Source organism: Homo sapiens, chromosome 1, assembly GCF_000001405.40.
Source record: "Homo sapiens chromosome 1, GRCh38.p14 Primary Assembly".
In the NCBI taxonomy this organism is placed as follows: domain Eukaryota; kingdom Metazoa; phylum Chordata; class Mammalia; order Primates; family Hominidae; genus Homo; species Homo sapiens.
Genome location: NC_000001.11, coordinates 92,595,795 through 92,617,762, shown reverse-complemented (window position 1 = coordinate 92,617,762; position 21,968 = coordinate 92,595,795). Strand labels below are relative to the sequence as shown.

The window sequence follows — 21,968 nt, the reverse complement described above, 5'->3', positions numbered from 1 at the left end:
GGTCCAATATAATCAACCTGCCACCAGGTAGCTAGCTGATCACCGTGAGGAATGGTGCCATATCAAGGGCTCAGTGTTGGTCTCTGCTGCTGGGAAATTGGGCACTTAGCAGTGGCTGTAGCCAGGTCAGCCTTGGTGAGTGGAAATCCATGTTGCTGAGACCATGTGTAACTTCCATCCCTGCCACCATGGCCACTTTGTTCATGGGCTTATTGGGCGACGATGGGTGGCTTGGAAAAGAGGCTGAGTGGTGTCCTCAGAACAGGTCATCTTATCCACTCAATAATTAAACTCCTCCTCTGCTGAGGTCACCCGTTGGTGAGCACTCACATGGGATACAAATGTCTTCACAGATTTTGGCCACTCAGAGAGGTCCATCCACATACCTCTTCTCCAAATTTCTTTGTCACCAATTTTCTAATCATGCTTCTTTGAAGTCCCTGACCATCCAGCCAAACCATTGGCTACAGCCCATGAATCATTATATAATCACACATCTGGCCATTTCTACTTCCATGCAGAGTGCACAACCAAGTGCTCTGCTCGAAGTTCTGCCCACTGGGAAGATTTACCTTCACCGCTGTCCTTCAGGGATGTCCTAGAAAGGGGCTGTAGTGCTGTGGCTGTCCACTTTCAGGTGGTGCCTGCATATCGTGCAGAACCATCTGTGAACCAGGCCCTGGTCTTCTCTTCCTCTGTCAGCTGATCATAGGGAACTCCCCATGAGGCCATCAGTGCGGGCTGGAGAAGAGAAGACAGGGTGGCAGGAGTGGAGACCATGGGCATTTGAGCTACTTCCTCATGAAACTTACTTGTCCCTTCAGGACCTGCTCAAGCCTGATCACGTACATACCACTTCCATTTGATGATGGAGTGCTGCTGTGCACAGCCCACTTCATGGCTAGATGGGTCAGAAAGCACCCAGTTCATGATAGGCAGTTCAGGTCGCGTGGTGACTTGATGACCCATAGTCACTTCATGACTATGATGAACAATGGTTCAGTTTCCACCAAAGTCCAGTAACAGGCCAACAGCTGTCTCTCAAAAGGAGAGTAGTTATCTGAAGAAGATGGCAGGGTCTCGCTCCAAAATCCTAGAGGTCTCTGCTGTGATTCACCTATGGGGGCCATGAATCTCTGTTTTTATAATTCAAATTAGTATTTTGCTCATTTGACCTAGAAGTTTTCTGCTTGTATAAATTAAGTAGGAATGAGCAGACTTCCTATCAATTTCACTTCTAGGAACACCGTGATTAATTAGCCAATGCCAGAGCTCTACACAAGTCAGACTATTCTGATTGCCGCTTTGCCGCTGCTGTTCATGACAGTAGCTATGCCTACCTTGCGTTTGATGGTTGAGTGCTGCCACTTGGCCCCGGCACCTCAGTATTCAATTATTCCCATTGTATTTAAATTTTGTAGTTGAGTAACTGCGGTTCCCACCATTAGATCTGACATACTAAGAAGAGCAATTACAGGCCTCTTCAAAGATGCAGGTGCTGCCCTCACAAATCTATTTCAAAAGGCATTGGTCAAGAGTACGTCTTCTGGACCCTCCCAGCTGAGATGAGTAGGTCTAAAGTGACTAATCCACTCCACCATCCCAGTCTCCCTAAGCCTTTGGATTCCATCCTCTACATTAAACCAAGGGAGATCAGGCGTTTCCAGCTCTCTCACAGTGGGCCATCTTCTAGTCCGTCTTTCAACTAACCAAGCAAATAAACTATTAGAACCTTTTTTAACTCCCCAAGTTGCAACATTGAATGCAGAATCCCTACTTAGTGGGCCCAAATCAATAAATTCAGCCTGATCCAACTCTGTTCCTTCCACCATTATCCCATACCCTTAATATCCATTCCCATGGTTTGTTTTCCAGATTTCTGTTTATATAAATTAGAGAACTTGGTTTTTTTCAAGTGTAGCACACCTCCTCATGGGTCACACTCAACCTCACCCTCTAGGGTCCCACTGAGACTTTAACTTAGTTATAGGTCTAGAAGCAAACAGGTGTTGGGGGTGGCTCCTGAGGAGAATCAACATTATCTTCCCTGGCAACTGCCTCAGGGGAGGGCATCAATGTTGCCTCAAGCAGCGCAGGGTTCATCTCCTCAGACAAAGGCAGAAAGGCTGATGGCAGCATGGGTTGGGGAGGGGTTGTTTCCACTACTGGGGATGGGGAAGTTGTTCCTTCTGACAAAAAAGGTTCATCAGAGTTTACAAACCTCTATGTCCCCAGCTTCATCAGGGTCCTCCCACATGTCCCCATTCCAAGTTTTAGGGTCCCATTCTTTTCCAATCAATGCCCTCACTTTAACAGTAGACACCTGGCAAGGCTGTGCATGCATCTTTCGTTGCAGGTCAGCCACTCGCATGAAGAGCTTGTGACTGTCTACTCTCATTCAGGGCAATCTTAGCAGATTTGAGGCGTAGTATCTGCTTCTGAAGCAGGGGGACAGAATCCCCTGAATTCATCATTTTCTTTCATCAATTTGTCCAGTGAACTTAGGAGCAACCAACCAACTTCATTACATTCCTTGGTTCTCCACATATAGTCAAAGGTATTATGTATAGAGTCACTAAACTGCTTGCCTCTCACAAATAGTAAATCAGGAGTGTCAAATGCATTTATTTTGCGTAACTCTCTACAAACAGTTCATGCCAAGAACTATCAGTGTGCTCCATACTGTTAGAAGTAGAGTCCTTAGCATTTTTGGGTCTTACCGTATTAAGCAGCCAACTCCAGAAACCCCCAAACCAATTTAAGAACTCCATCCTTAATATTCTGTTCCTCTAGAACCACTCCTGGTACCAAAATCTATATTAGTCAGGGTTCTCTAGAGGGACAGAACTAATAGGATATATATAGGAATAATAGGAGATATATATATATATATATATATATATATATATATATATATATATAAAATATAACATAAAATACATGTATATTATATATAATACACATACATATATATAACTCATATATATATATATGAGTTTATTAAGTATTAACTTACACGATCGCAAGATCCCACAATAGGCCGTCTGCAAGATGAGGAGCAAGGAGAGCCAATCCGAGTCCCAAAACTGAAGAGCCTGGAGTCTGATGTTTGAGGGCAGGAAGCATCCAGCACGGGACAAAGATGTAGGCTGGGAGGCTAGGCCAGTATCTCCTTTTCACATTTTTCTGCCTGCTTTATATTCGCTGGCAGCTGATTAGATTGTGTCCACCAGATTAAGGGTGGATCTGCCTTTCCCATCCCACTGACTCAAATGTTAATCTCTTTTGGCAACACCCTCACAGACACACACAGGATCAATACTTTATATCCTTCAATCCAATCAAGTTGACACTTAGTATTAACCATCACAGATATTTTTAACATCTGTGCCATATGTAATGCTGGTTCTGTTGATTGCTTTGTCTTTTGGGAGTGCTTTGTTTTTCCTTGCCTTTTCCTATGCTTTGTAATTTTTTTGTTGAAAGCTGGATATCTTGTGTAGGACTGCAGACTGAGTCAAATAGTTTTTCTGCCTGGAAATGGGCACATTTTTCCTTCTGCTAGGCCTTTAAAGTGGGAGATTCAAGTTAATATAGTCCAGAGATGGGTTGAGTTTGAGGTTTGTTGTTTCTGTGGTATCATCAGTGCACCATAGGCTTCAAATTCCCTTAGCAATACTTTATTTTTCCCTTAGTAATACCTTATTTTTAGAGTAGGAGCTGTTTGCCAGAGGAATTTTGTGTCTTTAGGTTTTCCCTTTGCATAACATTTTAAAAGGGTCTGTCTTCAGCAGTATTCCATTTGTTACTTATTACAGAAGAGTTGGAGGGGCAACAGTGTTTTCTATTGTTCTGATGAAGCCTCAGTCTTAGACAGGCACAGTGGCTAATGCCTATAATCCCCAACACTTTGGGAGGCCCAGGCAGGAGGATCACTTGAGGCCAGGAGTTTGAGACTAGCCTGGGCAACATAGTGAGACCCTGTCTTGTATAAAAATTTTTAAAAATTAGCCAGGTGTGGTAGTATGTGCCTGTAGTCCCAGCTACTTGAGAGGCCGAGGTGGGAGGATCGCTTGAGCCCAGGAGTTTGAGGCTGTAGTGAACTATGACACCTCTGCACTCCAGCCTAAGCCACAAAGTAAGATCCTGTTTCTAAATTAAAAAAAAATAAATGGCTGGGCGTGGTGGCTCACGCCTGTAATCCCAGCACTTTGGGAGGCTGAGGCAGGTGGATGACCTGAGGTCAGGAGTTTAAGACCAGCATGGTGAAACCCCATCTCTACTAAAAATACAAAAATTAGCCAGACGTGGTGCTGTATGCCTGTAATCACAGCTACTTGGGAGGCTGAGGGAGGAGAATCACTTGAACCTGGGAGGCAGAGGTTGCAGTGAGCCAAGGTCGCACCATTGCACTCCAGCCTGGGCAACAAGAGTGAAACTCTGTCTCAAAGAAAAAAATAAATTAAATAAATAAATAAATAAATTCAGTCTTAGGCTTCATTATGTCCTTTGATCTGGTGTGTTTGGTCTTTAGTGCTCCTGCCCACCCCAGATGTAGTACTAGGCACAAAACGCAGTTCTGCCCCTTCCCCAAGATGCAATGGCTTTCACCAGTGCCCCAAAGACAGCAGCGTTTCTTGGCCCTGATCCACACAGATGAAAGCATATATTCCCTAGAGGAGACAGGCAAGGTTTAGCGCCTTCCTATAGTGACTGCTATTCCCCTTCTTGAGTCCTGTACCATGAAGGTTTCTTTCTCAAGACTCACCAGTCTTTTGTGTGTGTACCCGTTGGGGTACCTGAAGAAAAGTGTGCAAGAGTTTGTGAACTTAGACTCTAAGTCTGCTGCCTCCTGCGCCTTCACACTGTCTAGCCAGCCAATACTTAGCTTCCACCAGTCTGATATTTATTCTAGCTGTATCATTCTTAGCTTGTGGCCGTATCTGCCTCAGGTGAGAAAGTGCTTAAATCCCATTGCATCTCTCCTGGAAGGCTCCGGGTTTGAACTTAGTTTGGCTGGCTTTTTTTTTTTTTTTCCTTTTTTTTTTTTTTTGAGATGGAGTCTTATTCTGTCACCCAGGCTGGAGTGCAGTGGCGCGATCTCAGCTCACTGCAACCTCCGCCTCCGGGGTTGAAGCGATTCTTCTGCCTCAGCCTCCTGAGTAGCTGGGACTACAGGCGCATGCTACCACATCTGGCTAATATTTGTATTTTTAGTGGAGACAGGGGTTTCACCATATTGGCCAGGCTAGTGTCGAACTCCTGACCTCAAGTGATCCTCCCGCCTCGGCCTCCCAAAGTACTGGGATTACAGGCATGAGCCACTGTGCCTGGCCTTCCTTCTTTTTTCATTGGAAGGGTAGGAGCAGTTCTTTGACCTTCTACATCCCAGATCACAAATCAAAAGTCCTGATTATGATGTATTTGTGATTGTTTTGTTTGGTACTTTTGGTTTCTTTCTTTTTTGTTCCTTTTTTCTTCCTTTCCTCCTCTTTATTGGATTTAGTTTTTTCTTTCACTTTCTCTGTACTGGTTTGACTCTTATAATTCCTTTTGTTTTCTATTAATGTTTGCTACCTGAAAAAAGTTGAAAATGCTTACCTGGGTGAACAAAGTCTAAACTTAGTCATCATCTCTGTATCCTTTCCAAACATTTAGAAGGGCCTGTGAATAACTTCATGTGTTCTTCTGTCTTACAAGTTATTATTGTACATCTTTTAATACCTCCAAACTACTAGATATTATTATTTTATGGAGTCAGAGCTTATCTGGATTTGTTCACCTGTTAGTCAGTTATTTTTGCTCTGAATTCTTTTTTTTCTATTTAATTTTTTTTTCTTTTTTAAATAGGGTCTCACTGTTTTGTCCAGGCTTGAGTGCGGTGGCTGTTCATAGGCTCCATCGTATCTCACTACAGCCTCAAGCTCCTGACCTCAAACAGTTCTCCTGCCCCAGCCTCCCAAGTAGCTGGGACTACAGGCTCTTCTCTCTTCTTATATTTGACAGTTTCTGGTTTCCATCCTGCATTCTAAATCTGTCACTCTTTTTTTTTTTTTTTTTTTTTGTGACGGAGTCTCACTCTGTCACCCAGGCTGGAGTGCAGTGGCGCAATCTTGGCTCACTGCAAGTCCTGCCTCCCAGGTTCACGCCATTCTCCTGCCTCAGCCTCCCGAGTTGGGAGTACAGGCGCCCGCCATCACGCCTGGCTAATTTTTTTTTTTTTTTTTTAGTAGAGACAGGGTTTCATTGTGTTAGCCAGGATGGTTGCAATCTCCTGACCTTGTGATCCGCCTGCCTTGGCCTCCCAAAGTGCTGGGATTACAGGTGTGAGCCACCACGCCCGGCCCACTTTCTTAAAATAAATTTACTTTTCTTTCTTGTATGATAGTTTAGCTCAGTATACTACTATAGGGTGAAGATTCTTTTTTAAGCATTATGAATTTTTGCCATTGAAATATCTGCTAGACATTTCATTACCCTTCCTTTATAGATCTCAGTTTTTCCCTTGATTTGCCTCTTTAGCATTCTAAGTTTTGTTACAGTATATATTGGTGGGGATTTATTTGTTTTTATCCTGGTTGGAACTAGTTGTGTTTCCTAAATTGTAGATTTATATCTTTTATTTCTTTTTTTTGGGGGGATTTATTTTTTTATTTTTATTTTTTATTATACTTTAAGTTTTAGGGTACATGTGCACATTGTGCAGGTTAGTTACATATGTATACATGTGCCATGCTGGTGCGCTGCACCCACTAACTCGTCATCTAGCATTAGGTATATCTCCCAATGCTATCCCTCCCCCCTCCCCCAACCCCACAACAGTCCCCAGAGTGTGATATTCCCCTTCCTATGTCCATGTGATCTCATTGTTCAATTCCCACCTGTGGGTGAGAATATGTGGTGTTTGGTTTAATTGTAAAAAATTCTCAACTGTTACCATCTCTTAAACCATCATATCTCACTTTTTTTTTTCTATTTTATCCTGCAACCCATATTAGGTATATTTTGGACCTTATTCTCTTTTCTGTGTCTAATAACCTCTTCTGGGACACTAATTATTTCTTCAGTATAGCTAATCTCCAATCTAACCCATTCATTGAATTCAGTGGCTGTATTTATAGAAATTTTCTTTGGTTATTTTTCTGATTTGCTTAATTTTTTTTGATAGTGACTTGTTCTTTGCTTATGTTTTGGCATTTTCCTTTTATGTCATTAATACTGTAATTTTAGACATAACCTATGTTAGGTAAAGTCCTATAATTATCTCTAGAGTTCTTAAAATATATTTTTTCTGTCTGCTGTCTCTCACTCATGGTCAGTTCTTGGGTTTTATGTGTATTATTTATCAACCATAATGTTGAATTATGGTCTTGTGTTCAGGGATGCAGGGAAGGGTTTTATCTATGGACATTATTTGCAGCTTATGTCAAAGATGGGTCCCTCTGAAGTGTAGTTATTTGTTTTAATGGTAGCAGGTAAGACAGTAAAAAGAGGCTGTGATACATTTTGAATACGGCACTAAGAAGTTTAGTTAATTTTGTAGACAGACTTATTTGTTGATTCAAAATGAGAAAGAGGCCAGGTGCAGTGACTCATGCCTGTGATCGCAGGATTTTGGGAGACCAAGATGGGAGGATCACTTGGGCTCAGGAGTTCAAGACTGGCCTGAGCAACATAGTAGGACCTCGTCTCTACTAAAAATAAAAAAAATTATCTGGGCGTAGTGGCACATGCCTGTGGTCCCAGCTATTCAGGAGACCGAGGTGGGAGGATAGCTTGAGCCTGGGAGATTGAGGCTACAAGTAAGCTATGATTGTGCCTCTGCACTCTAGCCTGGGCAACAGAGCAAGCTCCTGTGAGACCCTATCTAAAAAAAAAAAAACAAAAAAGAGAGAGAGAATGAGAACGACTAGAGTATGTGTTACAGGAAGACAAGTAAAAGTAAAGATGAAGAAAGTTCTAAGTGGTTGAAAGTTTTGGAGCTTACATCTATTAGATGATCTACATTTTTTCATTAAAACTGGAGGGGGGTCTTTTTCATAGGGCGAGGTAAAGTAGGTATAATAATGGCAACAACTGAACATTTATTAAGTATCTAAAATTTCCCGGGTGCAGTGGCTCATGCCTGTAATCTCCCAGCACTTTGGGAGGCTGAGGCGGGCGGATTACTTGAGGTTAGGAGTTCGAGACCAGCCTGGCCAACATGATGAAACCCTGTCTCTACTAAAAATACAAAAATTAGCTGGGCATGGTGGTGGGTGCCTGTAATCCCAGCTACTTGGGAGGCTGAGGCAGGAGAATCACTTGAACCCAGGAGGTGGAGGTTGCAGTGAGCCAAGGTCGTGCCACTGCACTCCAGCCTGAGCAACAAAGTGAGACTGTCTCAAAAAAAAAATGAAATGAAATTACATGACATGACATGATTGTGTGAGACTGCTTTCATAAACTTTTCGCCCATAATCTAATCTTCACAACATAGTCTCAAAAGGCAAGTAGTACTATCTCTACTGAAATTTGGTAGGATTAAATAACTTGGCCAAGTTTTAAGAACTGTTAAATGAGAAGTTAGATTTTTACTTCTTTCTGTTATGAAAGTCCCTACTATTTCTTTCAGGCCTCTGATAGAATAATTTCGGGTTGAGAGAATTCTGGCTGGGTCATACCTGAGTGTGAAAACTACCTCATGTTAGTTCAAGGTCTATATGTTTTTTTAGCACATTCTGTAATTATAATACAATAAACAGCTAGCATTTATTGCTACATATTTAGGCCCTGTTACGCATATTATCTCATTTAATTCTGAAGACACCAAACTGAGAAATAGAAACTATTTTATATGCATTTTTCAAATAAGGAAATAGAGACTCAGAGATACTAGCTTGTTTGCTTAATGACCAAATATTAAAACCAGGATTCAAAATCTGTGTGCTTCATAAAAAGAGACTGTGCTAGACATTGAGAGCATGTAGAAATACACATATGCCGTATTGTGTGACATCAAGTTTACAGCCCAATAAATAGTGATGGTACCTTTTTTTTTTCCTTTCCTTTTTTTTTCTCTGAGACAGAGTCTTCTTGTCACCCAGGCTAGAGTGCAGTTGTGTGATCTCAGCTCACTGCAACCTCTGCCTCCTGGGTTCAAGTGATTCTTGTGCCTCAGCCTCCCAAGTACCTGGGATTATAGACGTGCACCACCATGCCTGACTAATTTTTGTATTTTTAGTAGATACGGGGTTTCACCATTTTGGCCAAGTTGGTCCCAAACTCCTGGCCACAAGTGATCTGCCCACCTTGGTCTCCCAGAATGCTGGGATTAGACATGAGCCACTGCACTGGCCATGATGGTACCTTTTGACTGGTTTGTGCTTTCTTTCTGGAACTGGAAAGAGGAATTAAACTCACCATTCCTGTATCTATCCATTTTGTACTCCCATTGCCAATCTTAGAAAGGAATACCTTCAAGTTGTGTATAAGAATTTTTATAGTTTACACCTATTTTTTGTATAAATGGTATATTGAGCTATATTGAGAGTCTCTAATATTGACAGTATGCATTCCTTTGGATGACTTGATTTTATTTATTTATTTATTTATTTTTAATTTTTTTTTTTTGAGACGGAGTCTCGCTCTGTCGCCCAGGCTGGAGTGCAGTGGCTCAGTCTCCGCTCACTGCAGGCTCCACCTCCTGGGTTCACGCCATTCTCCAGCTTCAGCCTCCCGAGTACCTGGGACTACAGGTGCCCGCCACCATGCCTGGCTAATTTTTTTTTTTTGTAATTTTAGTAGAGACGGGGTTTCACCGCGTTAGCCGGGATGGTCTTGATCTCCTGACCTTGTGATCCGCCCGCCTCAGCCTTGAATGACTTGATTTTAAAGGCAGTTTTATCTTATTTTTTAATGTTGATTTTGTTGAATAACAGTGACCTATAACTAGTAACATTTTTAATAATGTTATGGTATAAAATGGATAGGTAATTTTTTTTAATTTTTAGGTCTTGTATCTATAGTCTCAGTATTTATATTTCTGATTATTAGAACCAGATCAATAGTAACCATCTTCGAAGAGCAGAACAAGAGGTGATTAGCCTACAGGAGAAAGTGCAGTATCTTTCTGCACAGAACAAAGGACTCCTTACTCAATTAAGTGAAGCAAAGCGTAAACAAGCAGAGATTGAATGCAAGGTAAATATGTCAACTAACTGATTTTGTTTTTTGTCAATATAATAATGCCTTTTTTTTGTTTGTTTTATCGTGATTAGATTATCTTAAAAACAAAACAAAAAAGCTCGTCCTATTTTCTACTTTTCCTGAACTTGTTTTGGTAGTTGCTTTCAGACCAGGTCAGCTCATCTTGCTTCTGGGGTGGATTTTAGTCAAGAAACATTTTCAGTCACTTCCTTGGTTAATTTAATTTCCTGGATTGGCATTTACTAGTATTTCTTTACAGTTTTTCTTTTGACTGGTAACCCTTTAAAACCAGAGCTTTTAATGGCTTGATCAAAAAAGATGGGTCATTTAGAGAGGTTAGGGCTCCTCTGCTTTGATTGGTATCTTATTAGTGGGCAGTAATGTTAATAACATTGATACATGTTTTCTGGATAGACTAGAGAGCAAAAGAAATGTGTATGTACCAGTGTGTTGGGAAAAATGGGTATATTACCCATTATTATTTTAATCAGTTATATACTTTACTTTTTTGTGAAGTGTTTGGATTCAAAAAGCATCAAAAGTATTTGAATGCAAGTACATTCTTTCCTGAAATAAATTTACAATATAGCAGTGGTGAGAGAGTGGGGGAAAGGCAGTGAGATGGAAGGAGAGGAGGGAGGGTTTGGGGGGGTGTGTGTGTGTGTGTGTGTGTGTGTGTGTGTGTGTGAAATAACTAAAGAGATGACTGTAGACTGGGCATTAGAATGGATTACTAAAGGCAAGTTATGGGATTTAAAAAAATAAACTAGGCATCCACCTTTCCATGGTGAGATAGTAGGAATGATGCCCTTTAAAGATTCCAGCCTTATTATTGTATAAGAAATAAGACTTTTGATGGCACATGTAAAGCTGTAATTCCATCAGCTTATTCTGGTGACATTAAAAACCAAGAGTGAAGCTTGAATGGTTTATCAGTGTCACTGAAATCCAGAGATGAAATTACATCCTTATAAATATGCATGGCTGTTACAATGTATACTGACAGAAATCTGTAGGCAGTACTGAAATTCCTACTAAAAGCACAGTCACTTTTGAAGGATATGACTAAACTATAAATAAAATAATATTAAATGAGGTTGTATCAGTCTGATTTGTCATACCAATATCTGATTGAGTTTTTATGATGCTAAATTGTCTGTGTTGACATCTTATAGATAACTAAATTTAATCTTTTATTTATTATTGGTGTTAGTTTTCCTTAAACATATTTTGATAATGGTGTTACTAGATTAAATATTGCTCCTCAAATGCCTTAGTACCTGTTGAGCAAAGTAAAGTGTTCTTTGGAAATAAATCTTTGAGGAACTTGCTGTTGAAAATAATAATTTTCTTTGAACTTGTCTAAGTAATGGGCTCAGATTTAGAATATTAGAGGATTTTATGAACTAATATGGGATTTTATTTAATTTTTAATTGTTCATTAATACCTCTGTGAAGTATGTTACAGATGCAAACTCTGATATCTCCCCTGTGTTTAAGCTGTGTGTTAATTTATTCAATCTTTCGTGATGCCTTTGCAGGTTTTGAGAATGACCAATGTATTGTTACCCTAGCACCTAGTACATTCTGATTAAATGTGTATGTTTTACCCTGTTATGTTGGAATAATTCGGGAACAAAGTTAATTTTTCAAGAAAGCCAGTCCGTGAATTATGTAAATCTGATTCATTTTCATTTAGTATTATAATATTATAGCTTATGATTAATTTATAATTATTAAAGCTTTTTTATTTTTAGTTGTGTAAAATGTGTGGATATTGTTTATAATATTAATGTTATTTTCCCTCTCAACTTAATTTGAATGTTCTCACTTAAAGTTGAAATATTACAAGCCTGTGAACCCCAGTTTCAAAATGCAAAACACTCTAAAACCCTGGAGTTTTTTCATAAATTTCACACAAATTCCTTTGGAGGCAAAACTTAATTTGAATTGATATATGGCCATTTATAATTGTTATTTATTCCACTTGATGTGAACATTTATATCTCACTGCTTCGTTGTATGTATTGAGCATATTGTTTCATTATGGATGCTGCCTTAGACCCTGCTAGATAATACTTAACGTATGGTTTATGCAACCTATTACTTTTCTAAAATCTGAATTCCAAACACACCTGGTTTATTTTGTTTCGGTTTGGTTTACCACACTAGAATAAGGAAGAAGTGATGGCTGTGAGGCTTCGGGAAGCAGATAGCATAGCTGCTGTGGCTGAACTACGACAACACATTGCTGAGCTTGAAATCCAGGTACCATATGAAAATAATAAAGTACATGTAAAAATATAGTTTCTTCTATCCTCTTTGTCTGAACAGTAACTTACTCTTTATCCTCGTGACTGTGATTCTTTTTTCAGTAATCATTCATTTCCAATTTTTTTTTATTGTGGTAAAATAGACATAAAACTTACCATTTTAAAGTATACAGTTCTGCAGCATTAAGTATATTTGACACTGTTGTGCAGCCATCACCACCATCCATATCCAGAACTTTTTCATCCTCCCTAACTGAACCTCTTTGCCCATTAAACACTAACTTCCCATTCCCCAGCAACTGGCAACCACCAGCAACTGGAAACCACCATTCTACTTTGTCTCTATGAGTTTGACCACTCTGGTTACCTCATATAAGTGGGATCATACAATACAGTCATATGCTGCATAAGGACATTTCAGTGACGGACAGCATATATGGTAATGGTCCCATAGGATGATAATGAAGCTGAAAAATTCCTTTTGCCTAGTGACTATAGCCATCATTATGTTATAGTGCAACACATTACTCATGTGTTTGTGATGAGGCTGGTATAAACAAACCCACTGCACTGCCACTCTTATAAAAGTGTAGCACGTACAGTTGTGTATAGCACATAATACTTGATAATAAATGACTATGTTACTGGTTCATATGTTTGCTATACTATTTGTTGTTTTGCTATACTAATATTGCTATTTTAGAGTCTAATTCTACTTATACAAAACAAGAGTTAACTCTAAGACAGTCTCAGATCCTTCAGGAGGTTTTCCAGAAGGCATTGTTTTCATAGGAGATGACAGCTTCATGTGTGTTATTGTCCCTGAAGACCTTCCAGTGGGACAAGATGTGGAGGTTGAAGATAGTGATATTGGTGGTGCTGACCCTGTGTAGGCCTAAGCTAATATCTTAGTTTTTAACACAAATGTTTTAATTTTTTTTTTTTTTGAGGCAGGATCTCACTCTGTTGCCCAGACCGGAGTTTAGTGGCACAGTCATAGCTCACTGCAGACTCCAACTCCTGGCTCAAGCAGTCCTCATCAGCTTCCCGAGTACCTGGGACTACAGGCACACATGACCACACCCAGCTTATTTATTTATTTATTTATTTATTTAGTAGCAATGAGGTCTCCCTTTGCTGGCCAGGCTGGTTTCGAACTCCTGGGCTTAAGTGATCCGCCCACCTCTGCCTTCCACAGTGCTGGGATTACAAGCATGAGCCACTGCGCCCAGCCTTAATTTTTTTTTAACTTAAAAAATTTTTTGTTCATCAGGTGTAATGACTCATGCCTGTAATCTCAGCACTTTGGGAGGCTGAGGCAGGCAGATCTTGAGCCCAAGAGTTTGAAACCAACCTGACAAACAAAGTGAGACTCCCTCTCTACAAAAAATACAAAATAAAATTAGTTGGACCTGGTGGTGCACCTATAGTCCCAGTCGCGGTTACTTAGGAGGCTGAGGTGGGTGGGTTGCCTGAGCCTGGGAGGTCAAGGCTGCAGTAAGCCATGATCACAGCACTGCACTCCAGCCTGGGCCACAGAGTAAGACCCTGTTTCAAAAAATATATTTATTAAAAATTAAAATTAAAAATAGAAAAAAGCTTATAGAATAAAGATATAAAAAAAATTTTATACACCTGTACAATGTTTGCTAAGCTAAATGTTATAAAAGAGTCAAAAAGTTTAAAAAATTGGAAGTTTATAAATAAACTTACAGTAAGTTAATTTATTATTGAAAGAAAAACCATTTTTTATAATGTTATAGTATATTTACAAATTTTCTTCATTTTTAAAGCTGAATAATATTCCATTGTATGTATATACCACATTTTTTATCTGTTCATTCATTGATGGACATTTAGGGTGCTTCCATGTTTGAGCTATTGTGAATAATGCTGCTATGAATACAGGTGTACAAATTTCTGTTCAGGTCCCTGCTTTAACTTCTTTTGAGTACGTAGAAGTGGAATTGCTGGATCATATAGTAATTGTTTAATTTTTTTAAGAAATTGCCATACCATTTTCCACAGAACCTACACCATTTTACATTTCTACCAGCAATGCATGAGGATTTCATTTTTTCCGCATTTGCACCAACACTTGTTAATTTTCTGTTGTTGTTTTTATAAGTACCATCCTAATGGGTGTGAAGTGGTATCTCATTGTGGTTTTGATTTGCATTTCCCTAATGATGAGCTATGTTGGGCATACTTTCATGTGCTTATTTCGCATTTATATATCTTCTTTGGAGAAATGGCTATTCAGGTCCTTTGCTTAATTGAACCAGGTTGTTTGTTGTTTTTGTTGTTGAGTTATAGGAGTTATTTATATATTCTCAGTATCACTTTCTTATCATATATATGGTTTGCAAATATTTTCTCCCATTATGTTTGTTGCCTTTTCTTTGTTGATAGTGTTTTTATCACAAAAGTTTTTAATTTTGCTGAATCAACGTACCTGGGTTTTGTTTTGTTTTGTTTTTTTTGGTGGTGTTGACTGTGCTCCAAGTCCATTTTTTAGTGAAAATTTATCATATTTCTATATTATCAAAACTATCTTCAAAAGAAAATTCAAAGCTTTAAAAATAAATATGTTTTTACAGGGCACAGTAACTCATGCCTGTAATCCCAGTGCTTTGAGAGGCCAAGGTCAGGGGATTGCTGGAGGCCAGGAGTTCAAGACCGGCCTGGGCAATAGAATAAGACCCTGTCTCTACAAAACAATTTTTAAAAATTAGCTGAGGGCATGATAGTACACTCCTGTAGCTCTGGCTACTTGGAAGGCTAAGGTGGAATGATCCCTTGAGGCCAGAAGTAGGAGTTCCATATTACAAGGAGCTATGATCAAGCCACTGCACTCCAATCTGAGTGACAGAATGAGACCTTGTCTCAAAAAAAAATTTTTTTAATAAAAATAAATGTGTTTTGTCACTTCTTATGCCTTACTTCTTGTATAATATGATAAAAGTAGTAAGTTTTCCCTATGGACAAAATACTATGTTTAAAATCTTATGTCTTTCAAAGTCTTTAATTATATTGTACTCCAAGTCACAATAGTCTTTGCTGTAACATCTAGAATTTTCTTCCCACCTGAAATTTCCTTTTGTCTTTAAATTTCAATTTCAAATGTAATTAATTTCCAAACTTACATATTATATTATAACTTCATTTTTTGATCTGGATCAAAAGTAACCACAACACATTATGATTTGTATGTTTATAAAAAGGTATCCTTTATGTTCTGCTGGTAGTAGTCCCCATAAAGTGCACATATTCAGAAAAACCTCAGACATGAGCCAACTGCATAATATATTTGTAATCAGTTGTTTAAATCATGCTATCGTATGTGATTTTAGCATTAGTCTGTACTTTTCTAAACATCAAGAAAATCCTAAGAATTTGCCATATTTCTATACATCTTAATCACAAAATAGTAAAATTTAAATCACTCTTTTTGTTGATTCTGAAATATTTATTAAAACGAAGAACCTGGTATGCAGGATTTTTGTTTAAAATGAAATGTAATGTGTTACATTATTTTTGAAAAATAGAAAATTCATGGAATTTTTTTTAACATCTTCCAATCCTTTACCCCTAACCCCGCATCTAGCCCCTGGTAACCACCATTCTACTCTGTACTTTTGAGTTCAACTTTTTGTATCCCACATGTGAGATCATGTAGTGTTTGTCTTTCTGAGCCTAGCTTATTTCAATTTCACTTAAGGTTCTCCAGGCTCATTCATGTTGTTGTGAATGACAGAATTTCCTTCCTTTTTAAGATTGAATAATATTCCATTGTGTATATGTAAACCACTTTTTCTTTATTCATTCATCTACTGATGGACATTTAGGTTGGTTGCATGTCTTGGCTATTGTGAATAATGCAGTGAACACGGGAGTGCAGATATCTTTTCAACATACTGATTTAATTTCCTTTGGATATATACCCAGTAGTGGAATTGTTAGATCATATCATCTGTTTTTGATTTTTTGAGGATTTACATTTCTACCCACAGTGTGTAAGAGTTCCCTTTTCACCACATCCTCTCCAGCACTTACTGTCTTTCATCTTTTTGATAATGGCCATTCTAACAGGTGTGAGGTGATAGAATTGTTACTGTTATTATAGTAGGGGTATATTATCATCAACTGGCTCTTGATAAAGTGGTCACTGGAATCCTAATTGCCAAATTTGTTGCTATTTTTTCAGTATTTGCCTGCTCATGCTTATTGCATTTGTTTTTGACCATTTCGTCCTCCTTGCATTCTCACCTCCCCTAACTTTGCTACCACCACTTACTTTTGACTCTCTTTTTTCTTGTTTAACTGTTGTTTACAGTCATCTTTATCAGTCGTGGATGTGTGTATTCCTCTGAAATCCGAGGTTTTGGCTTTTACAAACTATACCCAAATGAAGGGTCTCACTTACATGGCTTCAGGAACCATCTTTACCAGGGTTTCCCAACCCCCAGGCCACAGACAGGTATCAGTCCATGGCCTGTTAGGAACCGGGCCGCACAGCAGGAGGTGAGCGGGCAGCCAGCAGCATACTGTCTGAGCTCCACCTCCTGTCAGATCAGTGGCATCATTAGATTGTCACAGGAGCACGAATCCTATTGTGAACTGCACATGTCAGGGGTGTTGGTTGCACTCTCCTTATGAGAGAATCTAATGCCTGATGATCTGAGGTGGAACAGTTCATCCTGAAACCATTCTCCCACCCTCTCTATGGACTACGAAATCTGTCACTAGTACCAAAAAGGTTGGGGACCACTAATTGTTGCAACAGTGAATCATAATTTATCTCCAGCCCCAGCCTGTTTCCCCTTACCAATAATTTTCTAAATGGTTTAATAATTTAAAAATTATGAAACATGATGTACAGAGAAGTTAATAAAACAAAGTTACATTGTATGTGTACAAATATTATACATAAAACTTCTAACCAAGGTTAAGACAGACAAAATTGCCTGTACTCAAGAAGTCTATTCAGTCACACCCTGTTCCCTATCCTGACTTTTATGACAATCACTCTTTTGCCTTTCCTTATGATTGTGTCATCTTCCTATACATTTCTGATCTATACAGTTTAGTTTTCCCAGCTTCTCAGTTTTGCATATCGCCAACTCTTCAATCTTTCAAAATAGAAAAGTCTAAGTAAGTATAAAACTAAATAAAAGGTAATTTGAGTCATTTTTCAAACTTTTTTGAGTCTATAATAACATTTCTCTTCTCCCTACCACTCCGTTAGTTCATCTGCTTACCCCTTACCTGAACTGTTGTTGTAACCTCCCATCCAGTTTCCTTTTCTCCAGCTTCAGCTCTTCTACAGATTAAAAAAGCTGTCTCTCTAAAACATAGAAATTTCATTGACTACCTTTTAAATACCAATCATATCGAAACTCCTTAGCATAAAATCCTTTTTATTATTGCCCAAACTGAATTTGTAGCTTCATCTCTCACCATTATCTCCCCATCCTCATCACCTACACATACATGCTGTATTCTGCCCACTGTGAATTATCCTATTCCTGCACCTATCACATTCTTTCAGAATTCTGTGCCATTCTGCATGTTGCTGCATCTTCCTAAATTGCTGTATTTTTCTGAACTTCTTACTCCTCTACTTTTGAAGTATTTCTGTTTCTCTTTCAGGTCTTAGGACTGAGTGCTTTTTGGCTAACTTGCTGTTAATTTGCTTAGTAAATGAGTTTTCAGTAGATGTCTTAAGGTTTCAATATTTAATTATATGTATATGTCTATATAAATATAGATATATAGAGGTATATTTTTAATACAGATTAAGATTCATAAATAGATCTTTCATTAAAACCTGAAACTTTTTTCAGTTATCAAAGTAATATATTTTAGGTTATTTTCTTAGTCATGGAAATATCTTAGATCATATTCAAGTTCCACTAGGGGGAGAACTCAACTTAGTCTAAGATTTTTGTACTTCAGATGTCTTCAGATTAACTCTTCCAATTACTGGTACTCTCTTGCGAGTAAAATGTTTTTGCACAAACCGAATTCTTTCAAACTCTTCTTTTAATAAATTATTATTTAATCTGTTATTCATATAATGAAAGCCTGCTTTTTAATGTAGTTATGAAAATTATACTTTTGTAAACATCTCATTTAGATGAGAAAATACATTACATGAAGAAATACTCATTTTTATAAATACTATAACATTGTAATATATAGATACTTACATATAGATATATAGTATATTTATATACATGCTATGTAGTATATAGATATAGGTAGACTGAAATTTATTAAATTTATTTTCAAAGATTATTCAGTCTACTTAGAACTTTTAGGTCTAATTTAAGAATTATCATCTACTGCCATGTTGTTATTCTGACATAACTACATCTGTAATCTAGTTATATTGTTTATAATAATGCCTCCTCCACCACCCTGTCTTTGTATTCGCGTCTTACAGTGAACTTAACCATTTTTAAGTGTAGCAGCTTTCAAATTTTAGACATTTTCCTAGAACTGTTTTTAAAAGTTACTATTACCTAGTTTTCTTCTCTAAATGAATGACAATTATTTATTGGTGGGTTTTTTGCTATAAAATTATTACACTGTTGTGCTATAATGCTCAGTTGGGAACAGATTATACAACCTGTAAAATTAAGGAGTTGAACTCTAAGGTTCTATCACATATAAAACAATACTATGCCATGTATAGCATTTAAATATTTTTTGACAATTCTGAGTTACCATGAATTTTAATTATTATGTACTCATCTCACTTTATTAATACCTCCATGACTTTCTCTTTGGCCAAATTTTTACCTTAAATAACATTCCTATTCTAGTTACTAGACTCTTATGTTGGTTTATTTTTTCTTCATAACAATTACTACTTTTTTCATAAATTATACATTTCTTTTTAAATTTTAGATGTGGGGGTACATGTGAAGGTTTGTAGATAAACACATGTCATGGGGGTTTGTTGTACATATTATTACATCACCCAGGTATTAAGTTCAGTACCCAATAGTTATTTTTTCTGCTCCACTCCCTCCTCCTACGCTTCCCCCTCAACATATTTTTATTTTTAATTTTCCACATTCCCCACTAGAGCATAAGCTCCATGGGAGTGCAAGAGTGGAATTTTTATCTGTCTTATTCATTACTATATTCTCTTTTGGGCAGTGGTGGGGGAGACAAGGTCTCAAGATCACGCCACTACACCCCAGCCTGGGTGACAGAACGAGCCTCTGTTTCAAAAAAAAGGTCTCACTTTGTTGCTCAGACCAGAGTGCAGTGGTGTGATCATAGCTCACTGCAGCCTTGACCTACTGGGCTCAAGCAATCCCCCCACCTCAGCCTCCCAAGTACCTGAGACTACAGGAGCACACCACCACACCTGGCTAATTTTTATATTTTGTGTAGAGATGGAATTTGGCTATGTTGCCCAGGCTGATCTAGAACTCCTGAGCTCAAGCGATCTGCCCACCTGGGCCTCCCAAAGTGCTGGGACTACAGGTGTGAGCCACTGCACACAGCCTCGTTGCTATATTGGGTGCTTACTGTATAATGTCTGGTACATAACCGTCATTCAGTAGATATTTGTATTTGACCAAATTTGACCAGTAGATATTTGAATTTTGACAATAATTCATTCATCTTCTGATGTTGTTTCTACAATAAATGATTTTTAATGTATGCAGTTGTCACTATATTCACACATTTATCAACTTGTATATGTTCTTTTATTATTAGGTCACTACCAGTTAGGAAGGAGAAAATGAATTCAGCCTCTGTCCAAATGAATTTACCATTACAGAGTAGGAGTGACTGAGCTTAGGTCCCTTCTCTGAAATGTTTTTTAATGGAATTTAAACCTCTGAAAATTAATGTATATTTATTGTTGGTATTAATGACTGTAATAACATGCAAGAAGATGCCAACTATTATCAGAATTTTTTTGCTATCCTCACATATGCTTTAGAACCCAGTTTTCTGTTTGAATGTCTCAGTCTAAAGGAACTTCTTTTAGTAGCCTGCAAAAATAAATATGACATATCTTAATCAGAATAAAGAGCTTCAAGAAATTTAGTTATGAAGAACAAGAGGATTTTAAAATCCTGAATGTCTCTGTGGTCCCAACTTTTTGTCTTTTTGTTTTCTTCTAATTGCTAGAGATTCTGTATTGGTTAAAAGAATGGATTTTTGAGTCCAACCTCTTATTAGCCTCTTATCTTTGACAAGTTTTTTAATGTATTTGTTGGTTCACTCATTCAAAACTGAGGATTCTAAAGCTATCTGCCTTATAGTTGTTGGGATCAAATGAGAAAACTCATGTAAAGTGTTCTTTCTTGCCTACATAATATCCGGAAAAACAGCTCGTAGACCTTATGTAAAAAGTCACATTCAATATTGTAGAGTCCCCAAAATTACAACCAAACTAGAAAGTTCTGAAACTCTTTGAGTTTCCTTAAAGATAGTCTTTAACAACCTCAGATACTGAATATATATCCCTTTCCAAAAATTATATAAAGCCTGAAATTAAGAATTATCTTGGGGCCAGGTGTGGTGGCTCACACCTGTAATCCCAGCACTTTGGGAGGCTGAGGCAGGCTGATCACTTGAGGTCAAGAGTTCAAGAATTATCTTGGCTTTTTGTTTTTTCTGTAATATATACTTAAGTAAGCTTCTTTCTGTCCACCATGAAACCCTGTTTAGTTACACTTCATTTTTTGTGTATTTGCTGTATTTGGAAATATAGAGCTTATTACTTAACAACTTTAATTATTCCAGGATACTAATAATAAGAGTAATAATAGCTGGCATTACTGAACACTTGGTACATACCAGGCAGTGTTCTAAGCCATTTGAGGATATTCACATATTTAATCCTCACAAAAATCATAGGAGATATTGGTTTTGGGGTTTTTTTTGTTGCTATTTTTGTTATTGTTTTCAAGACAGGGTCTCACTTCGTCATCCAAGCTGTAATGCGGTGGCGCAGTCACGGCTCATTGTAACCTCGACCTCCCAGGCTCAAGAGATCCTCCCACCTGAGCCTCCAAGTAGCTGGGACTACAGGCACATGCCACCATGCCCGGCTAATTTTTGTATTTTTTTTCTGTAGAGGTGGGGTTTCGCCATGTTCCCCAGACTGGTATTGATCTCCTGGGCTCAAGCAGTGCACTCACCTTGACCTCCCACAGTGCTGGGATTACAGACATGAGCCACCAAGCCCAGCAAAATATTGTTAATATCTTCATTTTATAGTTGAGAAAACTGAGGCATAGAGAAAATTTTAAAATGAGATTTTGTTGTTTGTATGAAAACCCACTTTTGAATTTTTTCCAGGAATAAAAGGAATTTCTTTTCTTCAGTATTTCAACATACTGTCATGGTAGTTATATAAGTTTTCTTAATAGCATATTGACAGCTTCCTGTGAATTTGCTTATTATACAACTAAAGTTACTATTAGTTCCCTGTTCATTACTTAAAATTTTTCAGTTGTTTCCCCTAGCGTT

General features: G+C 38.1%; 1 protein-coding gene across 27 annotated transcripts in view; it reads left to right on the top strand.

Moving 5' to 3' along the window:
- The window catches only part of EVI5 (ecotropic viral integration site 5), a 283,715-nt gene that overhangs the window by 174,648 nt on the left and 87,099 nt on the right, over positions 1-21,968 (top strand). For 26 of the 27 annotated variants that reach the window (NM_005665.6, NM_001308248.2, NM_001377212.1 and 23 more), the window contains 2 exons: positions 10,036-10,182; positions 12,361-12,456. In NM_005665.6, coding sequence (NP_005656.4) covers positions 10,036-10,182; positions 12,361-12,456 — 243 coding nt within the window. The remainder of the gene's footprint in view (positions 1-10,035; positions 10,183-12,360; positions 12,457-21,968) is intronic. The other variant, NM_001377211.1, reaches the window with a different exon arrangement.